The 20,350-nt window shown below is 35.1% G+C and overlaps 1 long non-coding RNA gene across 2 annotated transcripts in view; it reads left to right on the forward strand.

Moving 5' to 3' along the window:
* LOC105370420 (uncharacterized) overlaps nucleotides 1-20,350 on the forward strand; it is a 129,914-nt gene that overhangs the window by 43,617 nt on the left and 65,947 nt on the right. For both annotated transcript variants that reach the window (XR_943662.3, XR_001750686.2), the window contains one exon: nucleotides 13,118-13,186. This is a non-coding gene — a long non-coding RNA (uncharacterized LOC105370420). The remainder of the gene's footprint in view (nucleotides 1-13,117; nucleotides 13,187-20,350) is intronic.

The following is a 20,350-nucleotide window of genomic DNA, read 5'->3' on the forward strand; positions in this document are numbered from 1 at the left end:
CACTGAACCCCTAGAAATTTTACTGAGGTAGAACGTCCCTGAATTATAGTCAGATTTATTTCCCATCCTCTGGCACACAAATGTCTCACCAATAAATCCAGGGTGTTTGCTACTTCTCGCTCACTGGATCCAATCAGCATAATATCATCAATGTAATGGACCTGTGTGATATCTTGTGGAAGGCAAAGTGATTAAGGTCTCTCTGAATAAGAATATGACACAGAGCTGGAGAGCTGATATACCCCTGAGATAGGACAGTAACTGTATATTGCTGGCCTTGCTAGCTGAAGGCAAATTGCATGGGCATTATGAACAGGAGTGGAGAAAATTGTGTGGGCATTATGAACAGGAGTGGAGAAAAAGGCATTTGCCAAGTCAATGGCTGCATACCATGTATCAGGAGATGTATTAATTTGCTCAAACAATGGAACCACATCCGGTACAGCAGCTGCAAATGAAGTCACCACTTGGTTAAGCTTACAATAATCCACTGTCATTCCCCAAGATCCATTTGACTTCTGCACAGGCCAAATGGGAGGGTTGAACGGAGATGTGGTGGGAATCACCACCCTTGCATCTTTCAAGTCCTTGATGGTGGCACTAATCTCCACAATCCCTCTAGAGATGACATATTGTTTTTGATTTACTATTTTTCTAGGTAGAGTCAGCTCTAATGACTTCCATTTGGCCTTTCCCACGACAATAGCCCTCACTCTACCTGTCAGAGAGCCAATGTAGGGGGTTCTGCTAGCTGCTAAGTGTGTCTATGCCAATTATGCATTCTGGCACTGGGAAATGACCACAGGATGAGTCCAGAGACCCACTGGATCCACTGTAAGTCAGACCTGAGCTAAAATTCCATTAATTACCTTAACCTCATAAGCCCCTATTTTAATTGGAGGGCCACAATGACATTTTGGGGCCCCTGGAATCAACAACAGCTTGGAGCCAGTGTCCAGCAGTCAGCAGAATGTCTGATCATTTCCCTTTCTCCAGTGCACAGTTACCCTTGTAAAAGGCTAGAGGTCTCCTTGGGGAAGGATGGGAGAAAGACTCGCTGCATAAATTATCAGTAATGCAGTGGGTTCCTTCCGCAAGGGGACTCAGGCTCCCCTTCATTCAAGGGGTTTTGCATCTGTAAAACGACTCAAGTCTGGAAATTGATTGACGGACCATGATTTTCTGTTTTTATAATTCAAATTAGTCTTTTGTCCATTTGACCTATAAGTTTTCTGCTGACATAAATTAAGTAGGAATGCAGTAGACTTCCTATCAATTTCACTTCTAGGAACACCATGATTAATTAGCCAATGCCAGAGCTCCACATGAGTCAGACTATTCAGACATATAGTCTAAGCTATTATGTATAGAGTCACTAAACTTCTTGCCTCTCACAAGTGGTGAATCAGCAGTGTCAAGTGTGCTTATTTTGCATAACTCTCTAAACAGTTCACACCAAGGACTATCAGTGTTCTCCATACTATTGGAAGTTGAGTCCTTAACATTTTGGGGTTTAATCGTATTAAGCAGCCAACCCCAGAAACCCCAAAACTAACATAAGAACTCCATCCTTAATATTCAGTTCCTCTAGAGCCACCCCACTTCTGGTACCAAAATTAGTCAGGGTTCTCTAGAGGGATAGAACTAAGAGGATATATATAATAAACTCATATATATATATGAGTTTATTAAGTATTAACTTATATGATCACAAGGTTCCACAATAGGCAAGCTGAGGAGCAAGGAGACCCAGTCTGAGTCCCCAACCTGAAGAATGTGGAGTCCAATGTTCAAGGCAGGAAGCATCCAGCATGGGAGAAAGATGTAGGCTGGGAGGCTAGGTCAGTCTAGCTTTCTCATGTTTTTTTGTTTGTTTTTGTTTTTCTGCCTGCTTTATATCCTGGCTGCACTGGCAGCTGATTAGATGGTGCCCACCCAGATTAAGGGTGTGTCTGCCTTTCCCAGCCCACTGACTCAAATGTTAATCTCCTTTGGCAACACCCTCACAGACACACCCAGGATCAATACTTTGCATCCTTCAATCCAATCAAGTTGACACAGTTTTAACCATCATGAGAGGAAAGTACACTTATATTTACATAAACTATTTTTTTATTTTCCTCTTTTTACAAAACATGTTTTCAACCAGGACAGATATCTTCATTAGCTCTCCCTTTTCATTACTTGTATTTTCTCACTGTCATTCTTTTTCATTTTCCATGTTAAATTGTGTGAATAATTAAAGTTGGACTTTTAATTTTCTTTTCTGGGCATGATTCCATTGTTTTATTTTATGAAAATTCACAGTGGTTAATATGGCAAAAATATCCCTAGAGTCTAAAAATTAAAATCAAACAAATCCTATCCATCTTGTGCTCTAATGAAACATTGAACTCTAGCAATTGCTTCCTTCTAGCAGCAGCCTTCTAGCAGTGTATGTCAGGTGTGTTACAATTTTATCATCCTCCTTTTCAAACTCTGATGGCTCCGTGTTTTGACAGATAACCGAACTTGGTGTTATGTGTTCAGCAAATGATGTATTCTTCATGGGAGACACTCACAAGTTGACAGTCAGTGTTGGGTCACATGATGATACTTTCTACCTAAATAGAAACACAATCCAACCGTTTCAATAAAATGAAACGATTTGATTCTATCTAAGCCTTCTCAAAACACTGCTAAATATTCCAACTGAAATAGTATCCAGTTTTAACTCACCAAAATGCTTTAAGGGGTACTGCTCCAATGTTAAAATTGATATATCATTGTAACTATTAATCACAGATGAAGTAAATTTAAGATATTAGTTAAAAGGTCATAAAATTATCTGCTGTGATACCTGTACATGAAAATCATTGTAAGCCTCCAGTGAGGCAGTAAAATACTGGAAGTTCCACTGTGTCACACACGTGAAACTGTTAATCTGATCTGAATTGAAACAATTGTAAATATAGGGAATATTTTTGAGAGTTAGTAAGCAGATAATTTGAGTGACGAATTATGTATAAAAAACAACTTTTAAGCATTTTTAATAAAGATCATTTACTACAGTCCTAGCAACAAGATTATTCAATTATATCCAACAATCAGAAATATGATCATGATCATCATTATAATCAGTAAGATAATCACTTTGTTTTTCCTTTGGCACGGAGTCTCACTCTATCACCCAGGCTGGAGAGCAGTGGTCCAATCTGGGCTCAATGAAACCTCTGTCTCACTAGTTCAAGCAATTCTCCTCCCTCAGCCTCCCTAGTAGCTGGGACTACCAGCGTACACCACCACACCCCGCTAAATTTCTCTATTTTTAGTAGAGACAGGGTTTAGCCATGTTGGCCAGGCTGGCCTCAAACTCCTGACCTCAGGCGATCCACCCACCTCGGCCTCCCAAAATGCCACTTTGGGATTTAAGTGGGAGTGTAAGAGCAGTTCAAATCCAGCACATTCAGTAAGACCATACATTTGTACTTTATGTGTTATTTGTGAGTATTATTGCTAGGAGCAAAGCCTCAATTTCTGAAACACTATTATTTGCCCTATCTTAAAATTGATTGATTCTTTTTTAACTTCTGGGAAAAAGTGCAAAGCATTAAATTAGCTGATAGCATATATTTGTCTTTTAAAAATCAACTTTATTGCTATATATTGTGTATAATAGAATGCATCCATTTTCACTGTACAGTTCAATGTTGATACATATATACACAATTTTAACCATCACTTTAATCCAGATTTAGGTAATTTCCACATCCCATAAAGCTTCCTATTGCCCCTTAACTGTCTTCCTCACCCCCCTACCCTCATGCCTTTCTACCCTAGGTGACTACTCATTTGATTTTTATTACTAGAGATTCATTTTATCTATCCTAGATATTCATATATGTGGAATCATAATTTGGTGATTTGTGTCTAACTACTTTTGCTTAGCATAACATTTTAAAGATTCATTCATTTTTCTGCATGCACCAAATGTTTGTTGCCTGTAATTGCTGAGTACTATAAATATACCACTATTTGGTTATCTATGTTTGTCTTCTGTTTCAGATAGTTTTGTTTCTGAACTCCCTCACTTCTCTTTGGTATCTTAGACTGAACATGTTTTAAATTTGATTTCTAATCCTTCTGAAAGCTCAAAAATTTGTATCCAATTTTGTACTTGAATTTCCTCTTGAGTCTTCCTGCTCCTTCACCCTTCTGATAAATTACCAATAGTGCAGACTAAACCCCTCAAATCTATATCAAACATGTGCTCTATTTCTCAAATATCGATTGAGACAATTCCAATTTTAGCTACCAGCATGTCTTACTAGGTATTTGGTAACTGTTTTATAACCAGTCTCCTCAAATATAGTCTTGGGACTATATTGGAGACCCAATCTATTATTTCTCCATCTACCACAGGGTCAGTTTTTAGAAAGAAAATATTTCCCTGCTTACAGTCTTTCAATCATCTATTTTAATCATAGAAGAGAGTGAATATCATGAATAAGGTGTATATAGCTCTTGATTAATTCATTATTCTAGTGGACTGTCATCCTTCCTTACTAAATTTCACCTTTGGTTCCCTTATTCAGTACCTTCCTCCCACAGGACCATTGGACAAGTTTCCTACCTTATTTGTATGCATAATTCCTACTTACTTTTCAAATTTCAGCCAAAAATTACTTTGTCAGGGAGACCTTTCTTGAGACTACTGTTTACATGAGCCTCTTTTGTGAAAGGTCACGTATCATCCTGCATCTTGTTTTTTTCTCATCCTTCTTTTTGGCCATAACACAATTATTAATGCATTTGCTTAATATCAATGTCCTTATGTAAATGCTTGTATCTGTAAGGAGAGATGTCATGTTCATTTCATTTATCTCTATATACATTGCACTTAACAAAGTACTGAAGTATTTTCATTTCTTAACAATTGTTTGTTGAATGAACTGTGATGGAGATGGGTATTTGCAATTGGCTATATCAGTGACCTGTGCTGAGAGATCATGGGAGAAAGAAAGAAGGTAAGACCTGAAGAAATATGGAGAGAAATACAAAGAGAATGGACCCTGTGGCGATGAAGAAAAAAGTGTTATTATGCCTTTAAAGAAAAAAAAAAAAACTCACATTCATTTGTTACTATCATCCGATGAGGGAATGCTCCAAAATATCCACATTAAAGCACCTCCCTCATCCTTAATAGTGGTAAACTAATAATCTATGTTATTTAGAGAATAATGATATCAGAGTTTATAGCTAAAATAATGAGATAGTTGTTCATGTCTTAAATAGAGCATGAACATTATCCCGTTTTGAACAACAAAATGAGTGGAGACCAGCACATGGGCTAAACTATAAATTAGATCTCTGATAAACAGTACTACCTGTGAAACATAACGTGTTACACTGGCACTTACTAGCTATGTGATCTAGGATTGTTATTAAACCCCTCCCAGACTGAGTTTTATGATTTGTGTAAGATAATTTTCATTTCGTAACATTGTTTATGAGGTTTAGGTGAGGTAATATCCTTATTAAGACCATGACACAGAAATTTCACATATATATTTAGAAATGCAAGGCTACTGATACTGCTATTGTCATTGATAGTATTATTGTGCAGATGTTCCTGTTCTGTCACTATCATTGCCATTATCACTAGAAGAACACTTGGCTAAGGGTTAAGAAATTCTGTTCTTTCTCAAAAATGGACAGACGAATTGTTGGGCAAATTCATTAACCTCAAATTCAACGCTATTATCTTTATTTATTTTATTTTATTATTATTTTTTTGAGACAGAGTCTTGCTCTGTCTTCCAGGCTGCAATGCAGTGGTGCAATCTCAGCTCACTGCAAACTCCTCCTCCTGGGTTCAAGCAATTCTCTGCCTCAGCCTCCCGAGTAGCTGGGACTACAAGCACCCACCACCATGCCCGGCTAATTTTTGTGTTTTTAGTAGAGACAAGGTTTCACCAAGTTGGCCATGCTGGTCCTGAATTCCTGACCTTGTGATCCACCCGCCTCGGCCTCCCAAAGTGCTGGGATTACAGGCGTGAGCCCTGGTGCCCAGCCCAATGCTATTATCTTTTTAAAAAAGTGATTAGTAGTATAATCACTCAAAATAAAAGTTTTTTTGTGTGTGAATAAAATGAGTAAACTAATGTGAAGGCAATTTGAACATTGTACATTACTATTGTTAGAGTTAGACCACAGCTTGGAATCACTAATTTGAAGCAAAGCTCTAGTAAGAACAAGTTCATACATTGAATTCATTTTGTCCAATGGCCTGGAAGGGTGATCTTAACTGGGCACTAGCCCTTGTGCATGTTTTCTGTAGATAACAGAGCAAAAGTGATACTTTAAAAAAATGTACGTATTTATTAGCACAATCTATAAACCATTTTGGGTGAAAACAATATTCTAATAGAGAGGTTCTAAAAGATATTAGTTACTTTGGCTTTAATGTGCTAATTTTATTACCTCCATCACTTCATGTAAATATTCTTGTGTTGCCATCTACATTCATTTTCGTAAGGGAATCCTCAAGTGTTTGCAGGCCTAAGTTTGGTCTGTAAACCACTGCCTGGTTACCTCCCTGACTGATAGCTTTGAAAATGTGTCAACAGTTTTCGTGTTTTACATTTTATCATAGTGCCAAGCATAATATAATATTTATATTCCCTGTACATACAGGTTTTTTTTTTCATTGTAGAAAAGAAAACAAAATCTGGTTTAGTTAATTTTGTTCTTGCAGAATTTAATCAGTTTCACATGGAACTTCTTTACTTATTTATGGGAGACAATGTTTTGTGGTGGAAAAATATGGACCTGAAGTCAGCGGAACCTCTGTTTGAGTACTAGCTCTGCCACTTAATGATTTTGGACCTTAAGGAAGTTACCTGTGCTTTTTAAACTTTTGATTCTTTTTTCTGTAATAGTGGGACAATAATAATAGCCACTTTACACATGGATAATAGCCACCTTAGGCATGGATATTATAAGTAAATAAATAAATAAGATACTATGAGACATTCAAACATAAATGCCACACAGGAACTGAGACTGCTCAGGGAACAAGAGATCTAGATTCATTGTATCTTTGCTTGGTTGGATATGCATACGGAAGGGAATGGTGGTCACAATGCCCACACCCATTTACTCATAGAGCAGTCAAATGCTAGCACAGTAAGGAATTGACTATTCAGTTCTAGAGATAAGGGAGTGACACGTCACTTTACAGAGCACCATTGCATCCACAGAGCAGGAAGAGAGAAGGTGTTAACTGATATACATAAAAGTCATCTGAATGTGTGCCAGGCAGTTGGAGCCCTTGACCTACGTAGAGTAATATATTTGTATAAAGACTACTTACAGACATATGGGGTCTTGTAGTTTGAGTCTGCAATTTAAGATATACTGCAACTTACTGCTTTTAATGTGAAGAGGGTCCAGTCATTTTTGTAGTAGTACTTCAGTGTTGGGACAACACTTACCTACCTGCTCCTTGTACTTAGGCAGGTGTTAGAGAAAAATATCTGTCTACTGTAAGGGGAGGAATGGAAAAGGATCCATTCTGTAGATCCACTCAAACGATCATGGCCAGAGCCATACATACTATTAGAGGACATACTTAAAACTTCATATGTGACGATGAATTTATCTCATGTTTCAGAAGGCTCCTGAAAGCAAGGGCATTAATATTCACATCTTATTTATAGAACACTTAAAACTTGCCAGGAAGTGTGGTAAATATTTTTCATGACTTCTCTAATTTATAAAATTTGAGATATAATTATAGCATTTTTACAGAAATATAAATGGATTCTTACATCAATTTGTAATAATTTACATAAATTTTACATGGTGGAAACTGGTGGCGCTAAAATTTGAACTCAAGCAACTTGGCATGAGACCCTGTTTTCTTTTACTCGGCTGTCAGGGAAGAATTCAAATGACCTGGAAAGGGACGTCACCATAAGCAAGAACACAAGGTGGACTGGGCCTTCGTTGTTTCTGGACGTATCATAAGCAACAATTTAAATAAGTCAGAAAACATTTACATAATATTCTAACATACCAACTCCATATGCATTCATATGGATCGGTATATATACTGTATTTCAAGAAAAAAATACAAGATGTAGTTTCATGTTAAAATTTCAGTGAAATAACATTTGTGTATGCATATACTATTTCTGGAAGTTCATACATGAAACTGATGTGGTTACCTATATGAAACAGTACTAGGTGGACAGTAGTGGGGGTGTACAGAGGAGGTCCTGGCTTTTGTTTTTTTCCTTCAGTTTATTATTTATACTTAAAATAGTTTAGCCTAAAATTGTTTAGTAAAGGAAAGTATATTTTAAAATTGAGAGAGCACTTTAAACCTTATCTCAAAGTGGTCTACGTTTTTCAAAAACCTTTGTGTTTTATGTCTAAAGAAGATTAGTAATATGGGTAGAGGCAGTATTGATTTATGCATACTGCTATCCCCTTAGTATTCTAGGTAATCTCTTGGTTTATTCTATCTTTGTCAGCAGAAAAGTATAATTAGCATTTAGTCAAGGTATTATTTTTCATCTGGAAATTGAAAATGTGAACTATTTAAAAAAGAAAAGGAGAGACCATTCACCTATTTTACCCAAGCAATTTACACTTGCAAAGTGGTAAAGAGGCCAGATTGATAACATTGAACTTGTACATCAGATAATTAAGTTTTAATCTCCTATTCAAAGACTTCAGCTTAGGGGTCACAGGAATTAAGAAAACTTTTTCTCTTTAATCAGTCTTGGATGATTAGTGACTTTGTTTGTGGAATGATCATTTTCCAAGTACAGCATTGCAGTGTTAAAATAAAATAGGGGGAAAAGATTAAGGAGTTTAATTTACTTGGCATGTTATAACTGTGTTTATTAAAATACTAAGAATTATAGCAAAACTTTATCATTTGTTAATATTACTTTTGCCTCAATAGGGGTTATATTGAGAAAACAATATTCTAGACATAAAGGCCATTGCCAAGCAGTATTTTTCTTAAAATTTATTTTAATTATTTTTGTAAAATAACCCCGTGGGTACTTAAAATGAAATCTATTTCTTTACTGAAATGTAATTCTTCTCTCACCCTCAATAAGCTTTCCATCTCTGGTTTATTATGGCACTGTTGTTCAGGATAAAAAGACGTGTTTGGAACACTGATATATTAATCAGCATACCTTACCCCATAAGAAATAGGATAAAGGTGACTGTGTATTATTTCTCAATAAATATTATTTTTGTGTAATGACGCACTTGGGATCCTCCTTCTGGATTTATCATAAAATTAACTGAATTTAGCAAATATATGCAGAAACTGTGCTAAATGTAGAAATACATGTCAAATTATGAGAAAAAATACCTTCCCTAAAATAGAATTGAAGTTTTTATAACAAGATCAATGATTTTAAATCACCAGGTCTTATAATGCTTGCTTTTTAGGAGTTTGTGCTATCTTTTGAAGAATCACTAGGTAATTTTTGCTTTGAAAGCATGAAAGTCACCAGCAAGTTGGTTTTCACAGGGTTGTAAATAAATACCAAAGAAATATAGAAAGTTTCCTAAGCTTTTGTCATGATGGTGGTATATTATGTAATAATAACTTATAAGGTAAACTATCTTTGCTAGGAGAAAAATAGTACTACATTTAAAAAGGGCAAGAACATGTTTATCAGGCCCAGAATAATACTAGGGTTTCCTGAGAGTTTCAAAATGTACTAAACAGCTTGGACAAAGATGTCTTCTATGCTTCCAAGCAGCAGCTTGTATTACCAGCCTCCTACTGAGATCTCTGCCCTGTCTAGTAGGATCCATAATGTTTTTGCTGTATTCAGAGTTTTATGTCATATAGTAATTACATGAGACACATATCTTTTAGTTGATTAATTACTGCTTGTTAGAATTTCCCCAAGTGACCAGATAGACTACTTTGCACGTTGGAAAAGAGCAGGGAACACACGCTGACAAACACAGGACTGAAATATAGGTCTGTAAGGGGTATGGCTTCAATTGTCTGTTTGCTTTACTCACAATATTCATAAAGTCATTGTGATCTAGGGTCTAACAGATACAGAAATCAACTTTAAACAAAAAACAAGATAGTTTCTTTATCTTCACACATTGCGAAGACCACAGAAGGATTATATAAAAATTACTAAAGTCACATCATTAAATAGGATCAATTTACTGTGTTATCTACCCTTACATTAACTCAATATAATTTTTGTAAATGTATTTATAAAACATAAACACTACATAGTTGATTTTTACTAAAAGCTATATGTGCATACTTTAAAAATTCAATCATGACCGATGGGGTAAGTACAAAACTTGTCCCATAAGACCTCAGGGAATGCTATTTTTCTTTCTTAATTCTCGACTACTTCAATATTTCTAAATAATATAGGTATATATTTTTAAAGTTTTATTTTGGGCTCAGGGGTACATGTGTGGGTTAGTTATAGGTAAATTGAATGTCACAGGAGTTTGGTGTACAGATTACTTCGCCATCCAGGTAATAAGCATAGTACCCAATAGGTGGTCATTCGATCCTCAGCTTCCTCCCTTCCTTAAACACGCCCTGGTGTCTATTGTTCTCTTCTTTGTGTTCATAATGTACTCAATGTTTAGCTACCACTTATAGTTGAGAACACGTGGTATTTGGTTTTCTGTTCCTGCGTTAGTTCATGTAGCTCCATCCATATTGTTTCTCATTCTAAATCAAGTGTATACAACCTCTGTTGACTTCTTATTCTACTATTTCCACATCAGTTTTTCTTGCTCTCATCATCGATAACATTTAATCATTTATGTACTATGCTTGAAAATTCCCCTGTTAATTTTAATTTATGTATTTTAACTTTACATGCAGTGAAATTCACTCTTTGGGATATACAGTTCTTCTACGAGTTTTGACAAAGGCATAGAGTTGTGTATACCACAATAAGAAAAGTATGGGGCAATCCCTCACCTAGAACATGCCCTAGTACTGTCCCTTTGTAATCAACCCTTTCCCCGGTTTCTAAAACCTGGCATCTATCAATCATTTGTTCTCGTTCCCTATAGTTTCGTCTTTTTCAGTATGTTATACAAATGGAATTTTGCACGACGTAGCCCTTTGAGCCTGGCTTCTTTCCCTTATCATAATTCATTTGAAATTCATGTTTATTATTACTTGTATCAGTCATTTGCTCCTTCTTATTGCTGAGTAGTATTCACTGCATGGATTCATCAGGGTCTGTTTTTCTTTACACTGGCTGAAGGGCATCTAGTTGTTTTTTTTTTTTTTATTTTTGGAGCTTATAAATTAAGCTACTTTAAAAATCCCTATAAAAATTTTAATGAATTAAAGTGTTATTTCTTTTGGGTAAACTCCTAGGGAGAAAACTCATGGCATCATAACGTAAGTATATGTTTAGTTTAATAAGAAAATGCTAAACTCTTGGCTGTATCATTTTTGCATTCTTACCAGCAATGTACGAAATTTCTGGCTGCTCTGTAAACTTGCCACCAAATGTAGCTTTGTCAGGTTATTCTTTCAGTTATTGTTGTTTACCAATCTAATAGGTGTCTATTGTTATCTCCTTATGCCTTTAATTTGTATTATCCCAATGACTAATCATATCAAACACCTTTTCATATGCTGATTTGCCACTGATATATCTTCTTTGGTGAGTCTCTATTCAAAATTGTGCTCATTTTTTCATTGGGTGGTTTTTGTGAGTTTTTAGAGTTCTTTTTATACTATGGATAAAAAGTTCCTTGGGAGACACCACCTTTGTAAATATCTTTCTCCAGTATATAGCTTGTCTTTTAATTCTCTTAACAGTGTTTTCACAGAAAAAAAATTAATTTTGGTAAAGTGCCATCTATCAATATTTTCTTTGGGGAATCATACTTTTGGTATCATATCTAAGAACACTTTTCTGATTCAAAGTTCACTAAAACTATCTCTTATGTTTTCCTTTAGAAGTTTCGAGTTTTACATTTTACATTTAAATATGTCATCTGTTTTGAGTAAATTATTATATAAAGTAAAAGGCCTACACCAAGGTATTTTATTTTTAATTTTTAAATTTGCATATGGATATTCAAATGCTCTAGCAACATTTGTTAAAAAGACTTGTTTTTTATTTTATTTTTGATTGTACATATTTATAAAGTATAGTGTGATGTTGTGATACATGGCTAACTTGTATAATGATCAAGTCAGGGTAATTAGTATTTCTGTCACCTCAAACATGTATCAGTTCCTTATGGTAAGAACATTTAAATTTCTCTCTTCTAGCTTTTTTGAAATACACAATATGTAATTGTAAATTATAGTCATCCTACTGTGCATTGGAACGCAGAAGGCTTTTCTCATATCTAACTGTAACATTGTACCTGCTGTCCTACTTCTCCCATCCCCCTTCTCCTTACCCTCCCCTGACTCAGATAACTTGTATTTTACTCTCTACATCTATGAGCTCAACTTTTAAAACTTCCACATAGGAGTGAGATCATGTGGTATTTCTATTTTTGTGCCTGACTTATTCCAGTTAATTTAGTGTTCTCTAGATTCATCTATGTTGTCACAAATGGCAAGATTTCATTGATTTTATGGGTGAACATTATTTCATTGTGTATAACACATTTTCTTTAACCATTCATTTGCTAATTGGACAACAGATATCATTGATGACACTGATACTACTGGATAATATACTATATCACTACCAGTAGAATGACTTGTAGAATTGTGGATAAATTGCTAATTACCCCAAGAATCACATAGTAACAGATTTCTCAAATGAAGTATTATAGGAGGTTCAGATGCTGAATGAAAAAAAAAAAAAAAGACAACTACAGACAAAAATTTTAAATATGTAAAATTTTTCTAGGTACCTTCTGTCTTGCTTCCAATGTAGACTGATTTCTTTGTAGGCTGCCTATTCCCATCCAGGAATATTTTTTATTATATGTAGAGATGATGCCAGCTGTTTCTTTGATGTTATGTTGTACACATTAATGGGTTACTTTTAATGTTTGACTGAGGGACATCTCCAAGTATTTATCATATTATACATGGCTGATACTGGTTTTCTTTGTTTTTCTGTAGGTCAGCTTCCCCCAATATTTTTCTACTTTGGATAGGAGGACTACCTCTCAGCATTTCCTGTAATGGCATGTGAGTAAGAAGCAGATAGACAAGCTAGTTTTCACCGTAGTTTCCGAAAGTAAAAAAATACATTAAAACTAATAAATGGAAAAATTCTGATGGGTTAATACTTCCACCAGGATCCCTAGTTCTCCCATATATATTGTTCAGTTTCTTTGGGGAGCAGTTCTTCAGCTTTGGTCTGGAAGTAACCAGTATCTCTGTCAATGCTGGGCTTGCATATGAAGAGTGAAGACTGCCTAGTTGTGCAGTTGCATAGAAAGCCTTTAACAGTATGAACATTCAATTAATCACTATCATAGTTTAATATTATTGATAATATGATTAATAAAATGATTTATGTTTCATCCAAACTCTCAGACCACGTGATCATTGTTGCTAGGCTCGTAACCTTTTTAGACTTCTTTTTTCCCACTGAAGGGAATTGCTGTCTTATCTACTGTTATCTTGTGCCTTTTTGTGAACTTTGCTATGTTCATTCTGTTTCATCAGTTATTGGAAAATTAGATAGCCACATGCAGAAGAATGAGGCTGGATCCATATCACTTACCATATACAAAAATAAACTCAATATGGAGTAAAGAATTAAATGTAAGATCTGAAGTCATAAAAGTTCTAGAAGAAAACCTAGAAAAAATTCTTCTGGATGTTGCCTAGCCAAAGAATTGATAACTAAGACCCCAAAGTCAGATGCAACAAAACTAAAAATAACGGGAAGTAATTAAACTAACAAGCTTCTGCACATCAAAAGAAATGATCATGAGAATAAATAGACAACCTACGGAATGGGAAAAATATCACAAACTATACATCTGACAAAAGGCAAATATCAACAACGGGTTCAAACAAATCTGCAAGAAAAAACAACTATTCCCATTAAAAAGTGAGCAAATGACATAAAGAGACATTTATCAAAATAAGATTTTGAATTGGTCAAAAATATATGACAAAATGTTCAACATCACTAATCTTAGGGAAATACAAAATAAAACCATAATGAGATACCACCTTTCCCTAGTCAGAATGACTTTCACTGAAAAGTGAAAAAACAGTAAGTATTGGCATGGGTACAGTGAAAAGGGAATGCATACACACTGTTGGTGGAAATGTCATACGCTGTTGTTGGGAATGTAAATTAATACGACCTCTATGAAAAGCAGTATGAAGATTTGTCAAACAACCAATAGAAGATCTACTATTCAATCTAGCAATTCCACTACTGGGTATCTACCCAAAGGAAAAGAAAGTCATTATATAGAAAAGATATCTGCACTCACATGCACAGTTCACAATTGCAAAGATATGGAGTCAACCCTAGTGCCCATCAACCAATGAATGGATAAACAAAATGTGATATATATATACACACACACCCACATACACACACCATGGAATATGACTTAGCCATAAAAAGGAATGAAATAATGTCTTTTGTAGCAACTTGCATGGGATGGGAGGCCATTTTCCTAAGCGAAGTAACTCAGGAAGGGTAAACTAAATATTGCATATTCTCACTCATAAGTGGGAGTTATGCTGTGGTTATGCAAAGGCATACAGAATGTTATAATGGATTTTGGAGACTCAGAAGGGGAGAGAGTGAGGGGGGTGAGGGATGAAAAATCACCTACTAGGTACAGTGTATACTATTCAGGTGACAGGTACACTGAAGGCCCAAACTTCACCACTATACAATTTATCCATGTAACCAAGAACCATTTGTACCCCTAAAGCTATTGAAACTTAAAAAAAAATCATATTCACAGTCCTGATATCTATCTCTGTCCTATTAGTTCTGTTTCTCTGGAGAATACTGACTAATACGGTTAATTTGTCTTCCAAGCTGCCAGTTTTACAACAGGACAATAGCTTACGGACAGGGAGAACACATATCAATCCATAAACTCCTCTAATTCCCAAACTAGAAAGTACCAAGGTGCAGCTGTAGCTCAGCCTCACTTTTTCACACATGCTAAAGAGAAACCTAGAGGCTAAGTGATGTGCTCGTGTGCTTAGTAAGTGGAAGAACGACAACTAGGTCTCAGTTTTCTCATTATCATCCCCATTGTTTTTCTAAGACTTCGATTTTCATTATTTTTCTTCAGAAAAAACAATAGCCAACAACAATAAACCATACACTTTTGCCTCATAAGTCTATTGCTGCACTCTGTATGGATATACCAGCATCTTGCTACTAGCTGCCTGAGGGTAGGTAACTAAATTCAGGCCCAGGTCTCATGTAGTTTGGCCAGGAGTGTGTAAAATGCTAATTTATGTTTACATAAAGTATTTCCGATCTAGTGGTTTTCTGAATAGCACTAGAATCTGTGTCATGTTTACATGTTTTAGACTTTATGAATGTGTTATTTGCAAATGTTTGAGCAATTAAATAATATAATTATAAAATACCTTCTGTCAGGATGCTCAAAGCACTATGTATATATAGTAATTACTACATTATAAAAATGTAATAAGCAATCACCCACTAAGATAAATTTAGAGGGAAAAAAGTTTAGGATAGTGTTACATAAATGTAGAAAGGATTAATTGTAAATTCAAAAAATGACTGCAAACATGATTAAATGCAAAGACAAACACAAATCAAGCTAAGCACATTTGTCTTTGGAAAAGGAATTATAAAAATGTTTGGCAATAAAATGAAACTGCTTATAAGTCATTTCAAAATAATGGTACACCCTGGGTGATTTTATTCGTTCTATAACTTTAAAGCTGTGACCCAGTGCCTTGTATGTGCTTTCTTGTAAAGTTATAACCTAATTATGAAGTGACCAGATATGAAAGAGTTGCTATGAATCTGCTGCAGCCTCCAAGTGTGACGTCTGATGTTTAAAACTCTTCTAATGAAAATTGCACGGAATAACCATCAATAGAAAAAGATTAGATACTATGGTGCAGTAAAGCGAAATAGAAATTGGTTTTACTCCCTGTCAGGTTATGATTGGATTATCATGGACTCAATACTGGAACCAGAGAAAATTATTTCTTTCTTTAAATATACAATTCAGTAACTGAATAGGCAAGGTTATTCCTGTTAGTTAAGGAGTTTTTTTTAAAACCATTGGAAATAATTATATATTGTACCTTTCCTTCTATTCAAAATGCCCTTTTACCTCTATTGTTATTTTATGAAAATACTTTACAGTGCTGCAAGAGAAAAACAAACAAACAAACAAACAAAAAAACAAGTCTCTCAACTCCAGAAACTCTCCAGGATATTGTCTTGTATTTCTATGCAGACGTTTATGTGGGGGGGGGGGGTGGTGGGTGGGGAGGGGGGGGGTGGATGTTTGAGTAATTGATAAAGGAGGGGGTCAATCTAAGATCCGGTTAATGTAGCTAGCTCAGTACTATAACTCCCAGCCTATAAGAAAGCTGTTTTACTTTGGGAGGCCGAGGTGGGCGGATCACAAGGTCAGGAGTTCGTGACCAGCCTGGCCAATATGGTGAAACCTCGTCTTTACTAAAAATACAAAAATTAACCGGATGTGGAGGCACGTGACTGTAGTCCCAGCTACTTGGGAGGCTGAGGCGGAAGAATCGCTTGAACCCAGGAGGCTGAGGTTGCAGTGAGCCGAGATCGCACCACTGCACTTTAGCCTGGGTGACAGAGAAAAATTCCATCTCAAAAAAAAAAAAAAGAAAGAAAGAAAGCTGTTTTATGATTTGTCATATACTCTATCCAATTCATTCTACTTTCTAGCACCCCTTTCCAGAGTGCCAGGTTTAAGTATTCCACCCAGGGATCTCTATAATTTTCTACAGGGAAATCGTTGTCTATGGTATAAAATTACAGCATCACTTAATATTTTCATCTCTACATTTCTCATTACTAAAGTGCAAATATGAGTTTTTAAAAGGTAAGATTCTGACTTTACAAATTCACACTGAAATGTGAATGTTAATCATGACCATATTGGCATGTTTAGGAATATTTGTCTAATAAAAGAATATACTTACATATTCTAGTAAATATACCTTTGGTGATGACATTTCAGACAAGCTGGGTGCAACAGGAGAATTGTATCCCAAGAAGATTCTACCTCTTAATTCCCAGACTATAAGTATGTTATTTTACATGTGTAAAATAACTTTGCAGATGTAATTAAACTTACTAATCAGTTGAATTTAAAACAGAAAGATTGCCCTGGATTATCCAGCAGCAGAGGCCCAGTATAATTTCCAAATACCTTAGACACAGAAGAGTAAGACATAAAGGGAAGTAAGAGAAATTGGAAACACAAGAAGGATTCAATGTTTTTTGTTTGCTTAAATATGAACAGGACAATATAGCAAAAAAAAACAAAAACAAAACAAAAAAACAGGGACCTCAGTCCTACAGTCATAAGAAACCAAATTCTTCCAATAATCACCAACCTTGGGAGAAGCTGATACAGAGCCCTAGAAGAGAAGTGTAGTACTGACCAGTACCTTAATACCCGAATAGCACTGCTCTATTCATTCATTTAAAAATATTACTGATTAAATTATTGCAATTTTAAAAATAAAGCATCTAAGCTCCTGCCCGTAAGAAATTTCTATAGGAGCTGAAGAGATAAAGCGCATGTTGAATTATATGGAATGATTAAAAGACACTTTTTTTCATAAAAGAGGTATGAATAAATTGAGACATCAGAAAAGTGAAATGTCACTCACAGCTGTTGATGAAATGTTGGGAGGTTTCCTGGAGTAACTGGCATCTAGGCTGCTGAGTTGACTCAAACTTCACCATTTTATTTTGACAAGTAACTGAAAGTGTTAATTTCTATATCTTTGGCACAACCAAAACAGGCTATTTACTTGACTATTAAATAGTTACATTTAATGTTTGTCTTTTTTTTGCATGTATTATAGTCTTCTATTTTGGTCCTAAAATAAGATTCTAAAGCTATTGTCCTTACTAATATGTATGTGTGTTCTTAATAATACATAGAATAGTGAAGTTTTGGGAGAAAGTAATAAGGCACATATGGATATATATTGTTAGTCTTGAGTTGACAAAATAAGACATTTCAATACATTAGTATTCTTTATTAATTTGTACTAAAAATATTAATGCCAAAGAGAAAATGGCATTACTAGCTAAGTAATATTAAATTGAAAAAGGAAACTGGTCATGGTATATCTGTAAGTTTTTTTTTAATTGATTAATCTTCTCTTCAAGGTAGATAGTCTAATTCAAGTTATTATTCAGTAACTGGATACAGTAGTAATGAATTCAGAATGTGCATAGAAGACACATTAGCCAATTCTTGACTTCTATCCGTTTTTCTTTTTTAATAGAACAAATTTCCCATAGCACCTCAGGTGCGAAGAGAAGCAGAGGCAGGTGAATTTCCTTGATAGCCCATGCCTATATCTTTAACTCCCATTTTACTTGTGGAGCACAGTCAGTGTAGATACTATTGTTCATGTTTTCTGGATTTATCTCTAACATGTTTTCATGTGCGTAATTTCATACTTGTGTCTCTTGTTGTCCAATATTATCTTGGCCAATAGGTTTATTCACTTCTGAAGTATACAATGAAATATATAAATGTTGAGCCTTTGTTTTTGCCAGCTCATTATTATTAATCTGTTTATTTTCCAGCATCTTTTTATGCTTTTTTGCAACTTCGTTACTTTTCTATTTAGCTGTAAAGACTTAACAAAATCAGAAGGCTGATGTTTGCAGAACACAGGGTTTTCATACTACAAGTCTTCCTGGCAGCATATTTTCAAATTTTATGCCTCATCTGCCAAAATCTCTCTCAGCATAAACCCCTACTGGGCAGCTGTATAAATCATGTGTTCCTGTGACCAGGTGTGCCAAGGATGACTGTGGAGATACCCCTGTTAAGTAATCCTCCCACTAGAAGAGATACTGATAACATTGATTTTCAGATGTTGACAGGCTGTCTGACTTAGGAGTCAGTCAGTTCAAGACTGTTCCAGAATATTTTCATTTAAAGCATGATGGCTAACAGTGAGCTATCAGCTTGGGAACAGTGGGAGCACCTTTTCTGTGCTAAAAATTACTGGGAAGCATTGCCCTCTGCAGACTTCAGGAATCTTTAAAACGTGGGCTGCTCCTACCCTGCTAATATTTTCGTTTCCCTTCTGCTCTTGCCAAAAGAAGCCAAACCATAGTTTCTGTCTAACAAGCATCAATTACTCCATGCAATCAAAAGAAGATATTGATTGATTGCGGAGCTGCCTTGAAGCCGTCAGTCATGCAAATTATTATCATTATTAATATCGTTTTGGTTTAGTTTTACAAAATGATGCTTGAGAAGTGGTTACTTTAAGTGTGCCTGTGATGGCCACATTGAAGAGAAGTAAGACCTCCTTGAGTTGAGAAGAAATAGCTGGCTTTTGTTATGAAAGAGCAATTTATGCTAGCTCTTCTTTCACTTAAAATCTAATATGAAAAGCGGTGTTATAGGTATATTTTAAATCGCTGTCATAGAAAAGTACATATTATTCCAGCAGTTTGATTTTTAGACATATATTACATACTTGCCCTTCAAAAGAGTGGAGAAGTAATAAATGTCTTTTGTTTTGTTTTCTGGGTATTTTTAGCCAATGTATTAGCACCTTTGTTCATGTCTTTTATGTAATGTTGTTTACTCTGAAGTCCTCAGAAGTTAAAGAGAAATAATGTTTTCAGTAGCAGCTAATCATCTGTCCAAAAATAGCAGAATACCACCAGCAAAATATGAAGTATTCAGTGAATAGGAGAAGAAATGTCAAACATTAGGTTTTTATCAGTAATGCAAGCTAGGAAATAGATTAATAAGTTAAAATTTGCGATTGCTTGGATTCTGATTTTATTTCAGAAGTCACTGAATTTCTGTGTGAATTTTAGCTACTCTTATCAACTATTAAACAGAAATAATACCATCTATTTCTAATTCATACCAGAGAAACATTGTTGTGAGGATTAATGCAATAATTTCTATGAAGATACTTTGTATAAATAAAATGTGCTGGGTGAATACAAGGTAGTGCTATTGTTTGTTATTACATAGTGAGAAGGCATTCTGCTTATTTTGTTTTGTTTTTGTTTTCACCTAGTTGTGTTCAATTTTTTAAATGCCCTAGTTCTTGTTTTCTTTAGTGTTAGCTTCTTATGGTCTCCTTAACTCAATGGTAGATTATTTTCCCTTATGTTTATTT

The sequence above is a fragment of the Homo sapiens genome, chromosome 14 (assembly GCF_000001405.40).
Source record: "Homo sapiens chromosome 14, GRCh38.p14 Primary Assembly".
NCBI classification, from domain to species: domain Eukaryota; kingdom Metazoa; phylum Chordata; class Mammalia; order Primates; family Hominidae; genus Homo; species Homo sapiens.